At 36.0% G+C, this 21,658-nt stretch overlaps 1 long non-coding RNA gene across 1 annotated transcript in view; it reads left to right on the top strand.

Annotated features, from left to right (window-relative positions):
- Positions 1-21,658, top strand: part of LINC02228 (long intergenic non-protein coding RNA 2228) — a 64,352-nt gene that overhangs the window by 7,742 nt on the left and 34,952 nt on the right. The window contains exons 2-3 of the long non-coding RNA NR_147006.1: positions 15,724-15,753; positions 20,646-20,685. This is a non-coding gene — a long non-coding RNA (long intergenic non-protein coding RNA 2228). The remainder of the gene's footprint in view (positions 1-15,723; positions 15,754-20,645; positions 20,686-21,658) is intronic.

Here is a 21,658-nt window from a genome sequence, read left to right as displayed (position 1 = left end):
GGTCAAGGCACCTCGGTGGAAGCAGTGCCTAGAAGTCAACCTTCTGAATGTCAACATCAAGGAGGTTTGAAAGTGCATCGATAGTGAAAATAATGTACAAACAATCAAACAAATAAATAGTAATAGCTATATGAATCACTCAGAATAAAAGATATAGGCACTTTGGGAGGCCGAGGCAGGTGGGTCACGAGGTCAGGAGATCGAGACCATCCTGGCTAACGCAGTGAAACTCCATCTCTACTAAAAATACAAAAAATTAGCCGGGTGTGGTGGCGGGCACCTGTAGTCCCAGCTACTCGGGAGGCTGAGGCAGGAGAATGGTGTGAACCTGGGAGGCAGAGCTTGCAGTGAGCCAAGATTGCGCCACTGCACTCCAACCTGGGTGACAGAGCAAGACTCCGTCTCAAAAAAAAAGAAAAAAAAAAGAATAAAAGGTATAGTATAATCTGAATACACATTAGGTAAATAGAACATGATTGTTTGAAAAGGACATCTATGAAAAAATTAGTAGATTATAACCCTAATCTAAGTATACCTTAGAGTATACGTTAAACATAGATGTTGTAAAAATATGACATAAGGTACATTAAAATCTAAGTTTGTATTTTAAAATATTCTAATAGAAAATAGAAAATGTTTGAACTTTAAATGTAAGTTATTTATAATATTTTACTAGTTTTTTTACACTTAAACTATAATTATCAACTGTAAATTCATTTAGCATATTAGGAGCTAAGAAATGTGAGCTTTTAGACAAAATTTTTAGGTTTTCCTTCCCTTAGTTTCTAGAACTATACAATGGATAAATACAAAACAGAATATTCTGAATAAATTTAATTTAACTAAATAGGCTTGTATTAAAAATAAAATGTTGTCATACAATATTTAAACTATGATTAACATGGGAAAAGCCAAAACATCATGTAAGTTTAATTGTTACAAACTATTTTAATTATAAACTAAATACAAATAGTTCAGATTTCCAGCACTTAAAATTAAAGAAAAATAATTAAAAATAATTATACATCAGTGAGGTTGGGCGGGGACAAGATGGTCCAGTAGAAGCAGCAGGAATCAGAGGCTCCCATCAAAAATAAACATAATACATGTGAATCCTGCACTGGCAACTGAGGTATCCAGGTTCTCTCATCAGAACTGACTAGGCAACTGGTGTGACCCACGGAGAGGAAGAGCCATGTGGTGTGGCAGCCCAGCTCAGAGCCACATGGGGTAGGGGGGCACCCACCCCCCAGTCAAGAGAGGCAATGAGTGTGCTACCCAGCTGGGGAAGCTGTGCTTTTTTCACAGAACTGTACAACCCACAGATCCGGAAGATCCCACTTGGTGAACCCTTGCCCCCGAGGGCCTAGGGTCCCAACACCAGAGCCACGCAGATTCTCAACAGCCTCTCAGCTATAATCTGCTTAAGACTTCCAAGTTCCTGCGGGGAGGGTTGACCAGCACCACAGCTGCAGCTGCCTGCTGTCTAAGCCATTTGAGCTCCTTAGGGGAGGGGCAGCAGCCAGCACTGGGACTGATAGCTGCCTAACACGCTAAGTTCCCTGGGCAGGGGAAGGGTGGCAGCCCCTTCTACAGTTCCAGGCTGTGCTTTTGCCCTGCTGGAGCCAGGGAGGCTGGACAGCTTGGTCCCTAGAGGTGCCCCCCACAGCCCAACACACCAGCTGTGGCAGACTACAGAGCACTTCTTCAGGACTGACCCTGACCCATCCCTCCTCACTGGGCAGGACCTCCCTGCAGGAACTCCAACAACTCCAGCCAGGGATTCAGGGACAGAACTCTGATCTTCCTGGACCTGAGCTCCTAGGGAGAGGAGTGGCAGACTTAGCCTTTCCTACTGGTAGTTCTGAGGAATCCAGGCAGATCAGACAAGTGGGTTTCCCCACAGCAAAGCATACTCCGTCTCACCAAAGGACAAAGTGCTTCATTAAACGGGTCCTGTTCCTCATGCCACCCAACTGGGTGAGACCCAACAGGGTTTGTCAGACACCCTATACAGGAGTGATGCTACTGAGATCAGGTTGGTACCCCTCGAAGTCAGAGATCCCAGAGGAAGAAGCAGGCACCTACCTTTGCTGTTCTCCAGCCTCCTTGAGTGGTATCTTCAGGCATGGGAGCGAACCAGATGAATATGGCCTGAAGTGAACCCTCAGCAAACTGCAGCAGCCCTACAGAAGAGGGACCTGATCATTGAAAGAAAAACAAATACACAGAAAGCAACAACAACAGCATCAACAACAACAACGAAGTCCCCACAAAAACCTCATCCAAGATTCAGCAGCCTCAAAGATCTAAACTAAACAAACTCATGAAGGTGACAAAGATTCAATGAAGAAACACTAAAATCCCAAAAGGCCAGAGTGGCTTTTCTCCTCCAAGTGATTGCAACACCTCTACAGCAAGGGCACAGAACTGGTCGAAGGATGAGCTGGACCAATTGACAGAGGTAGGCTTCAGAAGATGGGTAAAAACAAACTCTGCTGAGCTAAAGGAGCCTGTTCTAACCCAATGCAAAGAAGCTAAGAACCTTGATAACAGGTTAGAGGAGCTGCTAACTAGAATAACCAGTTTAGAGAGGAACATAAATGACCTGATGGAGCTGAAAAACACAGCACAAGAACTTCATGAAACATACACAAGTGTCAATGGCTGAATCAAACAAGCGGAGGACAGGATATCAGAGTTTGAAGGCCACCTTGCTGAAATAAGGCATGCAGACAAAATTAGAGAGAAAAGAATAAAAAGGAATGAACAAAGCCTCCGAGAAATATGGGACTCCATAAGAAGACCGAACCTATGATTGATTGGATTATCTGAAGGAGGCAGGCAGAATGGAAACAAGCTGGAAAACACACTTCAGGATATAATCCAGGAGAACTTCCCCAACATAGCAAGACAGGCCAACATCCAAATTCAGGAAATACAGAGAACACCACTAAGATACTCCACAGGAAAATCAACTCCAAGACACATAGCCATAAGATTCTCCAAGGTTGAAATGAAGGAAAAAATGTTAAGGTCAGCCAGAAAGAAAGGCCAAGTCACCTACAAAGGGAGGCCCATCAAACTAACATTGGACCTCTCAGCAGAAACCATGCAAGCCAGAAGAGAGTGGGGGCCAATATTCAGGATTCTTAAAGAAAAGAATCTTCAGCCCAGAGTTTCATATCCAGCCAAACTAAGCTTCATAAGCAAAGGAGAAATAAAATCCTTTCCAGACAAGTAAACTGTGAGGGATTTCATCACCACCAGGCCTGCCTTGCAAGAGGTCTTGAAGGAAGCATGAAATATACAAAGAAAAAAGTGCTACCAGCCACTGCAAAAACACACCAAAATTTAAACACCAATGACACTATAAAGTAACTGCATCAACTAGTGTGCAAAATCACTAGATAGCATCATGACGAGAGGATCAAAGTCACACATAACAATACTAACCTTAAATGTAAATGGGCTAAATGCCCCAATTAAAAAATACGGGCTGGAAAATTGGATAAAAAGTCAAGACCCATCAGTGTGCTATATTCAGGAGACCCATCTCACATGCAAAGACACACATAGGCTCAAAATAAAGGGATGGAAGAAAATTGACCCAGCAAATGGAAAGAAAAAAAAAAAACGGCAGGGGTTGCAATCCTAGTCTCAGACAAACAGAGTTTAAATGAACAAAGATAAAAAAAAAAAGACAAAGAGGGCATTACATAATGGTAAAGGGATCAATTCAACAAGAAGAACTAACTATTCTAAATATATATGCATCCAATATGGGAGCACCCAGCTTCATAGAACAAGTTCTTAAAGACCTACAAGGAGACTTACACTCCAATATGATAATAGTGGGATATTTTAACACCCCACTGTCAATGTTAGATAGATCAACAAGACAGAAAATTAACAAGGATATTCAGGACTTGAACTCAGCTCTGGATCAAGTTGACCTAATAGATATCTTCAAAACTCTTCACCCCAAATCAACAGAATATATATTATTCTTAGTGCCACATGGCACTTATTCTTAAATTGATCACATATTTGCAAGTAAAACGCTCCTCAGCAAATGCAAAAGAATGGGAACCATAACAAACAGTCACTCAAACCACAGTGAAATCAAATTAGAACTCAGAATTTAAAAACTCACGCAAAACCACAAAATTACATGGAAATTGAACAAGCTGCTCCTGAATGACTCCTAAGTAAATAATGAAATTAAGGCAGAAATCAAGAAGTTGTTTGAAACCAATGAGAGCAAAGAGAAAACGTACCAGAATCTCTGGGATACAGCTAAAGCAGTGTTAAGATGGAAATTTATAGCACTAAAGTGCCCACATCTGAAAGCTAGAATAGTCTCAAATCAACACCCTAACAACACAATGAAAGGAGCTAGAGAAGTAAGAGATAACTAATCCAAAGCTAGAAGAAGACAAGAAATATCTAAAATCAAAGCAGAATTGAAGGAGATAGAGACATGAAAAACTTTCCAAAAAATCAATGAATCCTGGAACTGTCTTTTTTTGAAAAAATTAACAAAATAGACTGCTAGAAGAATAATAAAGAAGAAAAGAGAGAAGAACCAAATAGACACAATAAAAAGATGATCAAGGGGATATCACAACTGACCCCACAGAAATACAAACTATCGTCAGAGAAAACTATAAACACCCCTACACAAATAAACTAAAAAATCTAGAAGTAATGTATAAATTCCTGGATGCATACATCTTCCCAAAACTAAACCAGGAAGTAGTCGAATCCCTAAACAGACCAATATAACCCCTGAAATTGAGGCAGTAATTAATAGTCTACCAACCAAAAAAAAAAAAAAAAAAAAAAAAAGCCCAGAACCAGATGGATTGACAGTCAAATACTAACAGAAGTACAAAGAGGAGCTGGTACCATTCCTTCTGAAACTATTTCAAACACTAAAAGGAGGGACTCCTCCCTAACCCTAACTCATTTTACTTATTTATTTATTTATTTATTGAGGTGGAGTCTCACTCTGTCACCCAGGCTGGAGTGCAGTGGTGCAATCTTGGCTGACAGCAACCTCCACCTGCTGGGTTCAAGCAATTCTCCTGTCTCAGCCTCCCGAGTAGTTGGGACTACAGGTGCGTGCCACCATGCCTGGCTAAGTTTTTGTATTTTTAGTAGAGACAGGGTTTTCACCATGCTGGCCAGGCTGGTCTCGAACTCCTGACCTCGTGATCCACCTGCCTCGGCTTCTCAAATTGCTGGGATTACAGGCGTGAGCCACCGCACCAGGCCTCCTAACTCATTTTATGAAACCACCGTCATCCTGATACCAAAACCTGGCAGAAACACAACAAAAAAGGGAAAACTTCAGGCCAATATCCCTGATGAACATCGATGCGAAAATCCTCAATAAAATACTGGCAAACCAAATACAACAGCACATCAAAAAACTTGTCCACCACAATCAAGTTGGCTTCATCCCTGGGATGCAAGTTTGGTTCAACATATGCAAATCAGTAAATGTAATCCGTCACATAAACAGAACCAAAGACAAAAACCACATGATTATCTCAATAGATGCAGAAAAAGCGTTTGATATAATTCAACATCCCTTCATGTTAAAAACTCTCAATAAACCAGGTATTGATGGAACGTATCTCAAAATAATAAGAGATATTCAAGACAAACCGACACCCAATATCATATTGAATGGGCAAAAGCTGGAAGCATTCCCTTCCAACACCAGTGAAAGACAAGGATGCCTTCTCTCTCACCATTCCTGTGAAACATATTATTGGAAGTTCTGACTAGGGCAATCAGGCAAAAAAAAAAAAAAAAAAAAAAAAGAAAGAAAGCATATGCAAATAGAGAGGAAGTCAAATTGTCTCTCTTTGCAAATGACATAATTCTATATTTAGAATACCCCATTGTTTCAGCCCCAAAACTCCTTAAGCTGATAAGCAACTTCAGCAAAGTCTCAGGATCCAAAATCAATGTGCAAAAGTCACAAGCATTCCTTTACACTAACAATAGACAAACACAGAGCCAACTCATGAATGAACTCCCATTCACAATTGTTACAAAGAGAATAAAATACCTAGGAATACAGCTAACAAAAGATGTGAAGGACCTCTTCAAGAAGAACTACAAACAACTGCTCAAGGAAATAAGAGAGGACACAAACAAATGGAAAAGCATTCCAGGCTCATGTATAGGAAGAATCAATATCATGAAAATGGCCATACTGCCCAAAGTAATTTATAGGTTTAATGCTATTCCCATCAAACTACCATTGACATTCTTCATAGAATTCAAACAACTACTTTAAATTTCATATGGAACCAAAGAAGAGCCTGTATAGCCAAGACGATCCTAAGCAAAAAGAACAAAGCCAGAGGCATCACTCCTGATTTCAAACTATGCTACAAGGCTACAGTAACCAAAACACCACGGTACTACTACAAAAACAGATATATAGATAAATGGAACAGAACAGAGACCTCAGAAATGACACCACACATCTACAACCATCTGATCTTTGACAAACCTGACAAAAAGAAGCAATAGGGAAAGGATTTCCTATTCAATAAATGGTGCTGAGACAACCAGCTAGCCATATGCAGAAAACTGAAACTGGATCTCTTCCTTACACATTATACAAAAATTAACTCAAGATGAGTTAAAGACTTAAATGTAAAACCCAAAATCATAAAAACCCGAGAAGAAAACCTAGGCAATAACATTCAAGACATGGGCATGGGCAAAGACTTCATGACGAAAACGCCAAAAGCAATTGCATCAAAAGCCACAATTAACAAATGAGATCTAATACAGAGCTTCTGCACAGCAAAATAAACTGTCATCAGAGTGAACAGGCAACCTACAGAATGGAAGAAATTTTTTGCAATCTACCCATCCGACAAAGCTCTAATATCCACAATCTACAAGGAACTTAAACAAATTTACAAGTAACAAACAAACAATCCCATTGAAAACTGGGCAAAGACATTTCTTAAAATAAGACATTTATGTGGCCAAAAAACATTAGAAAAGCTCAACATCACTGATTATTAGAGAAATGCAAATCAAAACCAAAATTAGACACAATTTCATGACAAGCAGAATGTCAATTATTAAAATGTCAAGAAACAATAGATGTTGGAAGGCTACAGAGAAATAAGAACGCTTTACATTGTTGGTGGGAATGTAAATTAGCTCAACCATTGTGAAAGGCAGTGTGGTGATTCTTCAAAGGTCTAGAACCAGAAATACCATTTGACCCAGCAATTCCATTACTGGGTATATACCCCAAAGAATATAAATCATTCTACTATAAAGACACATGCACATGTATGTTTATTGAAGCTCTATTTACAATAACAAAGACGTGAAACCAACCCAAAAGTCCATCAATGACAGACTGGAAAAAGAAAATATGGTACAGATACACCATGGAATACTATGCAGCCATAAAAACAAATGAGATCATGTCCTTTGCAGGGACATGGATAAAGCTGGAAGCCATCATCCTCTGCAAGCTAACACAGGAACAGAAAACCAAAGAAGACATGTTCTCGCTTATAAGTGAGAGTTGAACAATGAGGACACATGGACACAGGGAGGGGAACAACAGACAACAGAGCCTGTTGGGGTTTGGGGGCTGAGTGGAGGGAATCTAGGGGACGGGTCAATAAGTGCAGCAAGCCACCATGTCACATGTATACCTATGTAACACACCTGCACATTCTGCACCTGTATCCCAAAGTAAAATAATAAATAATCTCTGCATGAAGTGTATCTTATAATATATTGTGTGTCTGTGTTATTCCTTTTAAAATGTATTCACTCATTTATAAAAACATGTTTATGCATAGTCTTATTCAGGATGAATTTTGATGATTATAAAAATCATCTTTAATAATATGTAGCTTATATATATGTAATACTTATTAAAAATAAACACATCTATTTTTTGAGCCTCTAAATTTGTTGCTGCCCTTCATGTAATATTCCCTCAGTCTCTAGAATTCTCTCTCCTTTCCACAAGCATATGGTAGAGGAATTAAGGATGGAGAAGAGCTTAACAAGTCAATCCATCCTTTTCTTATTCTACTTTTCTCCACCTGCTTATGAATAATTTCTTTCTTATTTACTTTTGAAATATTTATAATGTAGATATCTATATTGTAATTCCCTTATTACATTGGAAAAGCGCTGCTTAGGTGTTGCTGGAATATGTCTTTGTGTATGTTATTAAGAAAATATTGTTGAACTTCATTTGATAAAGCTTACTTAGTTGCATGTGTGTTGTGAGAAAAAGGATAGGTATTATTTCATTCTAATTAATTTTATCTTAACATGATTATAGAATTGCAAACTCTAAGACTTGAATCAGCATGAGTAAAGTGTTACTAGGTGAGTGAAATATTAAATTCATCAAAGTCATCAAACCGTCATTTATCTGTGTGTTTATCTCTTCAACTGAAATTTGCTAGCATTAACAAATTGTGTGCATTTTTATGTAAGCTCCTTTTCACTGAACTAACCTTTCAAGAGAAAATTGTTCTCTTGCTTTTTAAATGAGAGAGGTAGATCGAGTGAGATAGACATTTATTATTTAAGAATAGTAGAACTTAATGATAGACCATGAGCAGAGTCTATTCAGGCAGAAGAGGGAGGACAAAAAGAGGGGAATGCTTAGACTTTTTCAGGTGTTTCAATATACATATTTTTAATCTGTAAGGACAAATAACAATACCTTTGAGAAAATTATATGACAAGTTATAGGCAAAAGTTTTAAAACAGTGGCTGGAAACTTATTAAATATATTTATTTTGTATTTTTTTGTTCATATTATTTTTGGTTCATTATAGCTTTTTCCAATAGAAAACCAAATATTCCATGAAGTAATATTTTTTCTGGGTAAAAAAATTATGAAATGTTTTAAAATTAGTATTAATAATTTAATTAAATTGTTGAAGTAAAATTTGTCATTTTAAAATGTAAAAGCAGATTTTTTTTCTGTTTTGAAACCATATTATTTATAATTCAAATTCAGGTGTTTCTTTTTTGAAACCATATCATTTTGTTTAGCATTAAGCTAAACAAAACGTGGGACTAAGATTTCAAATAGAAGAGAGCCCTAGATAGATAGTGTATTAGTCTGTTCTCACACTGCTAATAAAGACATACTCAAGACTGGGTAATTTATAAAGTAAAGCAGGTTTAATTGACTCACAGTTCCACATGACTGGGGAAGCCTCACAATTATGGTAGAAGATGAAGAAAAAATCCACGTCTTCCGTGGCAGCATGCAAAGAGAGAATGAGAGACAAGCGAAAGGGGAAACCCCTTATAAAACCATGAGCTTTCATGAGACTTATTCACACCACAAGAATAGTATGGAAGAAACCACCCCTATGATTCAATTATCTCCCACCAGGTCCCTCCCACAACATGCATAAATTATGGGAGCTACAATTCAAGATGAGATTTGGGTGGGGACACAGCCAAACGATATCAGATGAGATCACCATTTTAGAGTTACTTCTTTCCAAATTCAAGAGCAGTAAGATTTTGAGGCATAAACAGATGATTTGGTAGAACCATCAGGGCAAAACAGGAGATCAGGATCCATCAAATAGGTAGAGTCCCATTACACTTCCTCAACTTTCAGCTGAAACTCTGAAAGGTAATACTCTAGGAGTGAATGTGAACCTGAAATAGTCATCTTTTCTAGGACAAAATAAAAATTTCATGAGAATAGAATTTCTGACTGGATATAGTTGGTCTGAAATTGCTACTTTAGCTACCTCAGTGACTCTCAAAATAGATGAATACATCATTAAGTGCATCAAAGTCATCAAGCCATCATTCATCTAGGTGTTTGCCCCTCAACGAAAGGATGTATTTTATTCTCTTAAACATTGCTTAGTACACCAAAGAGTTTTTCTTATGTGATAGATATCTATTAACATTTATAATATTAGAAACTAAAACAGAATTTTAAAACTATAGTAAATTTATGTACACATAACAAGAAACCCACCACATGTTAACGCAGATAACATACTTTATTAAGAAAAACGTTTTCAAAAAACATTTTCAAAAATCACAAGTGAAAAGCACTGCATTATTTTACATTGGTTGAAATATCTTTAAAGTCTGGTGTAATAGATGACTGATAGACTATATTTGCTTCTGCATTTGATATGTTGTGGAATCACATTTCATGTAGTTTAAAGAAAATGCCACTGTACACTCATGAGAGAATGAGTGTAAAATGTTAAAATCCATCTTGGTAGTATTGTGACAATCATTTGAGCCTAGTGGCCCTCTTGACAAATATCTGCTTCCCCATAGGTTGCCAACCGCATTTTGAGAGCCCTGCTCTTGTTAGCTGCCTGACAATAGCAAACATAGCTCTTCTCTAGAGCAGTGTTTCTCAATTTTTCTTCGTTATCAACATTCCAAGAAGCATTTAAAATATATTTTTGCTAATTACACTCTCTTCATGAAATTAATACCTAAAAGGAATAATATTTAATTTGGTAGGGGTGAGCATTCAAGAGCCACAAACCATTCTAATATCTAAGGCATTTTGTTCACACCCCAAGAGATGATACTGCCCATACTATGATTGTAAGCTCTGGAGAAAGTCACTGTCATTCAGTAATCTCCACATTTTACAAAATTATTGAAAACTAGCTACTAGATAGATAACTATTTGATGATAGATGAGATAAGTAAATATATAGATTACCAGATGAAATAGAAATAGATTCACAGAGGATCCAGTTAATATAATAATACTTTAAAAGACACAAATATTAACAATAGAGCAATCCATTTATTCAACATTGAATGATATTGTGAACTTTAGTAGAAAAATGAAAACAATTAAATTCAACAAAAATTACTTCCATATCTAAATATAATTTAAAGAGCATTTATATGGAAAATAACCAGTAAAGACTGTTAATAGGATGAGATGAGGATGCTACTTTTAAGAAAACTTTAAATTTTGAAGTAAATATAGATTCACAATAAGTTGCAAAAAATATAGAGATGTCATATGTACTTTTCACCCGGTTTCTCCAAATGGTAACATCTTGCATAATTATAAAACAATATAACCAGAAAATTCCCACTAGCAGAATACATAGAGTTTATTCAAACTTCATAAATTCACATGTAATCTTTTGTACACACAAATGTGTATGTATTGTCCTATGTAATTTCATCACGTGTATGTTCATGTAACCACCACCACAATCAAAATACAAAGCAATTCCACTAATAAAAGTCTCCCTCTTTCTTTTATTCTATTGCCACACTCACCCTCCAACATCCTTAACCTATGGCATCAACTGATCTTCACAAAAATTTTGTTATTTTGAAAGTGTGATTAAAAGGAATCAAACAGTATGTATCCTTTAGGGATTGAACTTTTTTCACTGACTGTAATTCCTTTTTGATAACGCTCACTTTTTGAAACTTTAGGTTCTCTGTTGGCATTTGCCAAATGATGACACAATATAAAAGGCTGAGAATTAATGTTTTGTCCTCGAAGAGAACTGAAGAGGGGGCAAGTTAGCTAGCAAAGTATTTTGTGGCCTAATGAAAACAGAAATTGACGAAAGATAGAAATTGACAAAATTGACCCTAGGAGGGACAAGAGCCTGAGAAAAAGTAATGAATAACAACCTGCTTTGGCTGATTCTCCCCATAGGGCTGTGGCTAATTATGAAGTTTCATGGGATAGGAGGAGAAGCAACTATGTAGAGAGCTACTGATAATTACAGCAAATAGTAGGCTGCTAGCGATCTAGCTGTTCTGAGGAAACAAGTGTTAGAATTCAGCACTAGCCAGGGGTGGGAAAAATGTGGACAATAAATATACATACATCTAAGTGAAAGGTCATGAGAGCTATGCCCTAGGAACAGAGGCAAAAGGAGTTGACAGTAACTTCCCAGAGTTACAATCTATATTTGAATGAACTCTATCCCCAGTTGGATCAAGGTAATCAGTCCTTAGTCTGTCTGCATAACAGAAGAAAAATGGGCCACATTTTATTCACCCTGTCTACCACTGATGGGCCATTTGGGTTGATTCCATGTCTTTGCTGTTGTGAATAGTACTGCAATGAACACAGGCGTGCATTTATATTTATGATAGAATGATTTATATTTCTTTGGATATACTCAGTAATGCGATTGCTGGGTCAAATGGTATTTCTGGTTCTAGGTATTTGAGAAATCACCACACTGTCATCCACAATGGTTGAACTAATTTACACTCCCATCAACAGTGTAAAAGCGTTCCTATTTGTCTGCAACCTTGCCAGCATCTGTTGTTCATTGACATTTTAATAATCACCCTTCTGACTGGCATGAGATGGTGTCTCATTTTGGTTTTGATTTGCATTTCTCGAATGATCAGTGATGTTGAGCTTTTTTTCATTTGTTTGTTGGAGCACCATGGAATACCATGCAGCCATAAAAAGGAACAAGATCATGTCCTTTGCAGGGGCATGGATGGAGCTAGAAGCCATTATCCTCAGCAAACTAACACAGGAACAGAAAACCAAACACAACATGTTCTCACTTATAAGTGGGAGCTGAACCATGTGAACACACAGACACAGGGAGGGGAACATCACACACTGGGGCCTGTTATAGCGGGTAGGAGGAGGGAGAGCATCTGGAAAAATAGCTAATACATGCTGGGCTTAATATGTAAGTGGTGGGTTGATAGATGCAGCAAATCACCATGTCACACGATTACCTACGTCACAAACCTGCACATCCTGCATGTGGACTTAAAATTAAATTAAATTAAATTTAAAATTAAACGGGAAGAAATATACTTTCTAACATCCAATTAATAAACACACACTAGGCAAACTAAGAGACAGAAATTATATTACGGAAGAACAATACAATAAAAAAAAAAAACAAGCAGACCTGCAGTTGATGTAAATATGGGAGTTAGTGGATAAAACAATAATGTATTTAATGTGATTCAGTTAGGAGTTGGAAGGTTAGCAATAATTAAAGTGATTAAAATGATAAAATAAAATATATTAATATTTAAATATTATTTAAGTAATCAATTAATAAACATACATATGCAATATGTTGTTTTTAACTATAGTCACTATGACATCCAATGGGTGTCCTGAGTGTATATTTAGACTTGACATAAAATCAGATCTATATAAAAATCAAGATTCTAGACTCAGCACAAGAATGAAAATTATTACATTAAAATGTAAGGATTTTCAAAGCAAATTTGTACACAACATAAGAGATTCACAAGATAATAAACTACTGGTAATACTGATAAATAAAATATAGACAGCTAAAATCACCAATACCAAAAATTAAATGGAATTTTCCTATAGATCTTCTAATTTTAAATTTACAGGTAAAGGACAAATTCCTAAAATATCTAGATATAGATAAGCAACACTGCTTTTACTTTTCATTTGGCATGCCACTAAATATGCCATTTGCCTCAAATGCTCATTGCTATGTATTTAGTTACTGACAAAAATATATTTATATTTCTAGTATATAACATGATGCTTTGATAATTGTATACATTGTGGAATAACTAAATCAAACTAATTAACATACTACCTTGCATACTTAAAATTTTTTTGGTGAGAACACTTAAAAAATCTACCCTCTTAGCAATATTCAAGTATACAATATGTTGGTATTTACTATAATCACCATGAGGTACAATGGATCTCCTGAGCTTATTCCTTCTATCTAACTGAAATGTTGTATACCTTGATTTTCCTAAATCTCTTTACCCTCCAGCCTCTGGTAACCTCCATTCTACTCTGTACATATTTTTAAACATATAATTTCAACTTTTATTATAGATTAAAGGGTACACATATGTGTTTGTTACATAGACAAATTGTGTGGCACTGAGGCTTGTGGTTTGTTCCACTGATCCCGTCACACACGCACTAGGCATAGTTCTCAACAGGTGATTCTTCTGCCCAATTACCCCTTCTCCTGCTTCATCTAGTGGTCCCCAGTCTCTATTTTTCACATCTTTACACTAATATGTATTAATCATTTTGCTCGCACTTATAAGTAAGAACATGGTATTTGGCTTTCTGTTCTTGAAGTAGCTTGCTTAAGATAATGTCCTCCAGCTTCATCCATGTTGCTGCAAAAAATGTGATTTCATTATTTTTAATGGCTGCATAGTATTCCATGGTGTACATGTACCAGATTTCTTTTTCGTCCAATCCACTGTTCATGGGTACCTAGGTTGACATTATGTATTTGCTATTGTGAATAACACTGCAATGAACATGAGGATGCATGTGTCTTTTTGATAGAATGAATTATTTTCCTTTGAGTATATACCCAGTAGCGAGATTGCTGAGTTCAATGGTAGTTCTGTTTTAAATTCTTTGAGAAATCTCTAAACTGCTTTCCACAGTTGATGAACTAGTTTATTTCCACTAGCAGTCTACAAGTATTCCTTTTTCTTTACAGTTTCACCAACTTTTGTTGTTTTTTGACTTTTTAATAATTGCCATTCTGATTTGTGTAAGATGGTATCAAATTGTGGTTTTGATCTGCATTTCTATGCTGATTAGTGATGTTAAGTAATTTTTTCATATGTTTGTTGGCCACTGGTATGTATTCTTTTAAGAAATGCCTGTTCACATCCTTTGCCCATTTTTAATTAAACTTTTTATCCCTGATCAACTCTGTTCTTTTTTAATTGAATTTTTAAATTGACAAATCAAAATTGTATATGTTTATTGTACACAAATATCGACTTTTTTCTTCCTAATACACTTGCCACTCTCTGGCATGGTCATCATTTATTTTTTTAGGTGCAGTCACGTGCTGTATAACAACATTTCAATTAACAACAGACCACATATAGGACAGTGGTCCCATAAGATAATAATGGAGCTGAAAAATTCTTATCATCTACTGACATTGTAGCCATTCTGACATATCAGTTCAATGCATTACTCACATGTTTGTGACGATGCTGCTGTAAACAAACCTACTGCACTGCCAGTTGTATAAAATTATAGCATATGTAATTGCGTACATTACATAATACTTGATAATGATAACAAATGACCGTTACTTGTTTATATATTTATTATGCTATACTTTCTATCATTATTTTAGAGTAAAACTTTGAAAAGTTATACTTTTCTGCTTATAAAAAACATTAACTGTAAATCAGCCTCAGGCAGGTCCTTCAGGAGATATTCCAGAAGAAGGCATTGTTGTCATAAAATATGACAGCTTTATGCATGTTATTGCCCTTGAATATTTTCCCAGGGAACAAGATGTGGAGGTTGAAGACAGTAATATTGATAATCCTGACCCTGATTAGGCTGAGGTAAATGTGTATTTTTGTATCTTAGTTTTTAACAAAAAAGTTTAAATATTAAAAATATATAAAAATGTTACAAATACAAAAATAATAAGTATATAAAAAAATATTTTTGTAAAGCTGTACAATGTATGTTTTAGGATGTTATTACAAAAGTCAAAGATTAAAAATAAAAAATTTATAAAGAAAAAATGTTATAGTAAACTAAGATTAATTTATTATTGAAGAAAGAAAAATTTCTAAATAAATTTAATGTTGACTCCATGTACAGTATTTATAAAGTAGACAGTAATGCCTGGGCCTTCATATTTACTCACCACTCATTCAATGTCTCACCCACAGCAACCTCCAGTCCTGCAAGCTTCATTCCTGGTAAGTATCCTATACAGGTGTATTGTATTTTTTATACCATATTTTTACTGTACCTTTTCTAGATTTAGATATTTTTAGATGCACAAATACTCACAATTGTATTATAATTGCCTACAGTATTTAATACTGTAGTCTGCTGTACAAATTTGTAGCTTAGGAGCAATAGGCTATGCTGTATAGCTTAGGTGTGTAACAGGCTCTCCTATCTAGTTTGTGTAATTTTACTCTACAGTGACAAAATCGCCAAAGAAGACATCTATCAGAACATATTCCCGTCATTAAGCAACACATGGCTATATTATGATTTTTTGTTATAGAATTCTCAAATATATTATTGTACCATGATTTCTTCCTAAAATATGAAATGATATTTAATGTCTTCCCTCAATAAAAGACAAAGAACTATACTGAGAAACCATCTTCTTCCACCTTCCCTTCGCAAATTTTATGGTATGCCTTTAATTTTAATTCACCCCTTGACTTTTATTTGATCACAAAGATTATTAATAAGCTGTTTACTTTTAAAACAAAATATCTGCTTTATTATCTACAAAATTTAAAACTTACTCTTTGATTGCTGTTCAGTAAGGTAGTGGAAGCCTTATGTTCCCCATTATTTTCTATCTCCCACTTGCAAATATGTCAGCCATATTATTATATTTATAATTAAACATATATAATAGTTACATTACTTTATATATTTTTATATATTTTGTTATTATTTTTATCCTGAGAATAGAAAATCAGTTTGAAAGATTTTAATATTATTTTTAACTTTTAATATTTTAAATATTAATATTAATTTTAATATTATGTTTACATTCTGCACAATCAGGCCAGTTCAATCTATCTATCTATCACAAAAGCCTTTTATCAATATCACTCAGAGAATGTCTTAAGCATTGAGATCTAACAGATTATATTTTCTCACACTTCATCAATTGCTCAAAATAGCTTAATGCTGTTTCCCACTTCCCTATCCATGATTTCTTCTCTTTGCCCCTTTTTCTAATCGTTAAATAATCATTAAGATGCCTAAGAGCATCCAAACTGTAAAAAATTCTACTGATTCTTCCATATGAATCTGCTTTTTATGCTTGCTATGCAGCCATCATTTTATGATTCTTGTTGAACTCTTGTGTTGAACTTAGACACCCTTTTGTCCTGAGGACCAGTTCTTTGTGTAACTAGAAATAAGAAGTATATATGATTAATTTTTCCTAAAATAATATTAATTTTGCATTAACACAATTGCTAATCAAAACGATTAACATGATTATTAACATGATATTAATACAATTAAAATGATTCTTATTCAGTAAGCTTATATTTTGTTATCAAATTTATAATACCAACAAGCACCAAATTCCCTAAAGGATTAAAAAACGATCTCTGGTGATCTGAAATATCCCAGTTACATATGTGGGTATTCTGTTTTATTCCTATTTTTTAAAATCATGGGTTTATCCTGTTCGTGCTTTTGTGAACTTAGTATATGTACAATCTTATTTTGGCCCTGTATTTGAACATTCCTTTGAGATCTCCCCATCTTGGTATTTTTACTCTAGTTAAATGCATTTTCTCCAGTTTTCCTTCTAGTCCTTCTTTTCCTTTTTAATAATATCTCTGAATTTATTTTAAAATATGTTTTAATAAGAAAATCATGGATGCTACTGAAAATTCAGTAACTTCATAAAAAAAAAAAGTGATACCAGGAGGGCACAGTGGCTCACGCCTGTAATCTCAGCACTTTGGAGGCCAAGGAGAGTGGATCACCTGAGGTCAGGAGTTTGAGACCAGCCTGGCCAGCATGGCAAAACCCCATCTCTACTAAAAATACAAAAATTAGTTGGGTATGGTGGCATGCGCTTGTAGTCCCAGCTACTAGGGAGGCCGAGGCAGGAGAATCACTTGAACCCACGAGGCGGAGATTGCAGTGAGCAGAGATCGCACCAGTGCACTGCAGCCTGGCTGACAGAGCCAGGCTCTGTCTCAAAAAAAAAATAAATAAATAAATAAAAAATAAATAAAGATACCGTGTTTCTATATAGGAAGTTTTAATATTAAAAAGATAGAAATTCCCTCTGAGTTAACTGATGAGTTATTCAGTTCTAGTAAGTATTTTCACTTTGATTTTAAGGGCTGAGGAAGCTAATTATAAATTTTATTCAGAAGGATTGTTTAAAAGAGTAGTTAGGAAATTCAGAAAAGCAATGTGGGGAAGCAAACCATACCAAGCTTTTAAATATAATATAAAGTCTGTGTAGTTAAAGTAGTTTAGTATCAACATCAGAACTGACAGGCATACCAATGAAATAAGATAGAAAACCCAGAATTAGCCAAATTATATTTGGAAATTCAGTGTACACTAACAAGGCATCTCAAATCAGTGAGGAAAAGATAATTGATGTTTTGATAACTAGGTGGTTCTAGAAGGAAAAACTGGATCCATGTCTCATCTCTACATCAGCATATATTGTAAGCAGATAAATAAATGTATAAAATTTCGGTTATGAAGTTTCTATAAAAATTAGTAAATAATGAGTGAATTCTTAGAAATGCACAAGTAGTAAAATTTAATAAGTATTCAAAATTCAGCACAGTAATGGAAAATATAAATTTGATTATAATAAACATTTCATCTCAAAAACATCATAGATAAGAATGACAAATGACAAACTGAAAAATAAAATTGCAACTTCTTTGAAACAAAATGACTGTTAAATTTATAAAGGGCTTCTAAAATTAATCAGGAAAAAATCAACAATGTATCATAATAAAAGAGCAAATAGTATGAATATTGAATGCCAGAAAAAGAAATGTCAGTGGCTGTTACACATATGATAATATGTTCAACTTCAATAATAATAAGAGAAAAGCAAATAAAACTTCATTTAAATATCATTCATTATCTCTCAAGCTTTTACAAATCTAAAGTTCGAAGCTGTAGATCACAAGGACATTTATATATCACTATGGAAATGCAAACTGGCATATCACTCTTTAGGGGAGATTTGGCAATGTTCATCAAAATTGTACATTCCTTTATCCTTTGAACCAGCAAACTTATTTCAGAATACTGGGAATCTATTCAAATTTAAATTGACAAAAAATAGAAAATGACTTATGAACATTGATTTCAGCATTATTTAAAATAGCAAAAGACCAGAAACAACCTAAATGCTGTTTAGGTTGACTGGTTGGATGAATTATGTTGCTTAGGAAACTGAGTAAACAATGAAAAATCAAGAAGTATGCTGTACTGCTGGAAAATGGAATAAACTCCATAATTTACTAAGTAGTTAACTCCAAAATATATTGTTCAATGATGAATGCAATATAGATAAAAGTATATATAGTGTATATTGAGAAAAGGAAATAAATCTTGGGGCCCCAAGATCACTAAGCTAAAGGGAAAAGTCAAGCTGGAAACTGCTTAAGGCAAATCTGCCTCCCATTCTATTCAAAGTCACCCCTCTGCTCACAGAGATGAATGCATATCTGTTTGCCTCATTTAGAGAGGCTAATCAGAAACTCAAAAGAACGCAACCATTTGTCTCTTATCTACCTGTGACATGGAAGCTCCCTCTCAGCTTCCAGTTTTCCCGCCTTTGCCTCAAGTTGTTCCACCTTTCCAGACTGAACCAATGTACATCTTACACATATTAATTGATGTCTCATGTCTCCCTAAAATGTGTAAAACCAAGCTGTGCTCTGGTCACCTTGGGCACATGGCATCAGGACCTTCTGAGGTTGTGTCATGGGCGCATGTCTGGGACATTGGCGAAATAAACTTTCTAAATTAACCGAGACCTGTCTCAGATTTTGGGGGTTCACATTTTGGTAACCCCAGAGGAATTCTGAGTGGAGATGCCCCAGACCTTTGACAAATCTCCTATCAGTGCTTGGTACCAGTGTAACGCCTAAGGTTCTTGCCAAGCCATGCCAAAGAATTGATGTGGCAGCTGTCTGCGGCGAGTGATAGAGACACGGAATGATAGAAAAAAGCTGTAGGCTTTATTAGGCAGAGTGAAAGTACAAAGCTTCCACAGCGTGGAAGGGGTCCTGAATGGGTAGCCAGTGTTGGTTTTGGGTGATTGCCTTTTAAACTCTTCAAGGAGGGAAATATGTGCAGCAGGAAGATGTTACCAGAGTGAGAAACAAAGGCAGTAAATTATTTTGTGACATGTCTAAGATTTTGAGGAAAACCAGAATTGCAACTTAGGTTTTATCTACTTTATGACGTTGTAGCAGCATGGCAAAGGAGACAGGATCTTACAGGACTTTACAAAGTATGTTTACAAGGAATTGGAATGGGGAGTATAGATAAGGTCTGCTGGTCACAGAAAAAGGGGAAGTTAACATTTCTTTTCCTTTAGTTTTAGGGGATGGGGAAGGGAGAGAGAACACAGGGAAACTTATAGCAAGCTTTTAGCTGTTTATAGCTTTCTTGAGGAAGAAAACACATGCACAAGTCCTGGTGTTAGGAATATTTTAAGCATATATCTTCAATATTATTCATCCAGGACTGAAGTAAGTCCTGATGCAGGAAATGAGTAAGTTTCACAGCTTTCTGAGCCCCTACTCGACCCAGGAAGCCCAGCTGGTACCTCCTCTCACTGGTATGGCTCAAACCAGTGGGAGAATTTGCAGAGGTCTGTGAGCATCCCCTCCAGAGAATCTCTGATCTCCAAAAATTTGGTCAAGATCTAAAGTTTATTTTGCTGTACACCTCCCTTCTTTTTTGGAGTTTTACTTGCTCCCAACAAGGAAGGAGAGACTTCCTGTATCCATCACAATGAAAGGCAGGTAACTTCTTTATGGAGTTTGAGCTCCCTTTCAGCAGGGAAGATGAGTTTGAGATCTCTCTTTTTTTTTTTCCCTGCTTCTAGAATGGTAGAAAGCAGTCTTCAGCCTGAGACCCATCCCTAGGTAAGTACCTGAATTGGGGTTTTGTCTTGGCTAAAGTTTAATAACCAGCTGGTCTTAATTTCTACTTACCATTAGAGCACCCAGTGATCATATTGTGGGGTTTTTATTGTTGTTGTTTGTTCTGGATTTTCACCCATCAGATTTGACCAATTTTACCTGACTTGGTCAAATCTGTGTGAGAATTCCAAGTTCTGGGTAACAAAGCCTCTCTAATTTGGACAAAATTCCTCGCAACTGCAAAGGAGGAAAAACATGCACTTAGTTTACGAGTTTTCGTCTTGTTTTTTTAAAAAACAAAAGTTCTTTCATTTACTTTTCTTCCACCCTGTACCTCCTGCCCCCTTTGCCATCTGTAGTACCAAAAAATCTAAAGGAGTCATATAATGACTTGAACCACTTTAAAGAATTCACCTGTTTTGGGGTATTCTGTTTTCTTGGTGGAGTTTCAAGAGTCATGGGCAGCTTCTTCTTAGGTCTAAAGCTCTGTTTTCCTGTATTGCATGACTTGGCCTCTTTGGCTTTGGGGATCACAGAGATTACCTTGTACTGTGAGAGGATTTGACCTTGGCATGTGTAATGGCAGATGAGAGCTACAAAGTAGGGGTGGCTGAGCAGGAGTTTAAATAAAGTGGTCTTGGCTGTTGTCTTTTTCTCTCTCCCAGGAAGTTGTTGTCTAAGGATTCTAATTCTAGTCTGGAGATACATTCTAAGGAGACTTCTCTAACGCTTTTTCTCCCAAATTACTCTCAATTCGGCTTGTCTATGTGCATTGGTGTGAGGAGCTGAACTGCTGTTTTCAAAGCTAAATGAGAGATTGAGTTTTCTCAGCTCCAAAGAGAAAGGGCATTTGTTCCTCCCACCAAAAGGCACCCCTGGGTGACTGGGGGCCTCGTGGGAGTCTCTGGGGTTTTGAACCCCCACAGCGTGCAGCAGCCCCGCAGGGAAATCCCCAACAAAAATTAATTCAAAATAA

Source organism: Homo sapiens, chromosome 5 (genome assembly GCF_000001405.40).
Source record: "Homo sapiens chromosome 5, GRCh38.p14 Primary Assembly".
Lineage (NCBI taxonomy): Eukaryota > Metazoa > Chordata > Mammalia > Primates > Hominidae > Homo > Homo sapiens.
The sequence above is the reverse complement of the archived record's forward strand: the minus strand, read 5'-3'. Positions and strand labels throughout refer to the sequence as shown.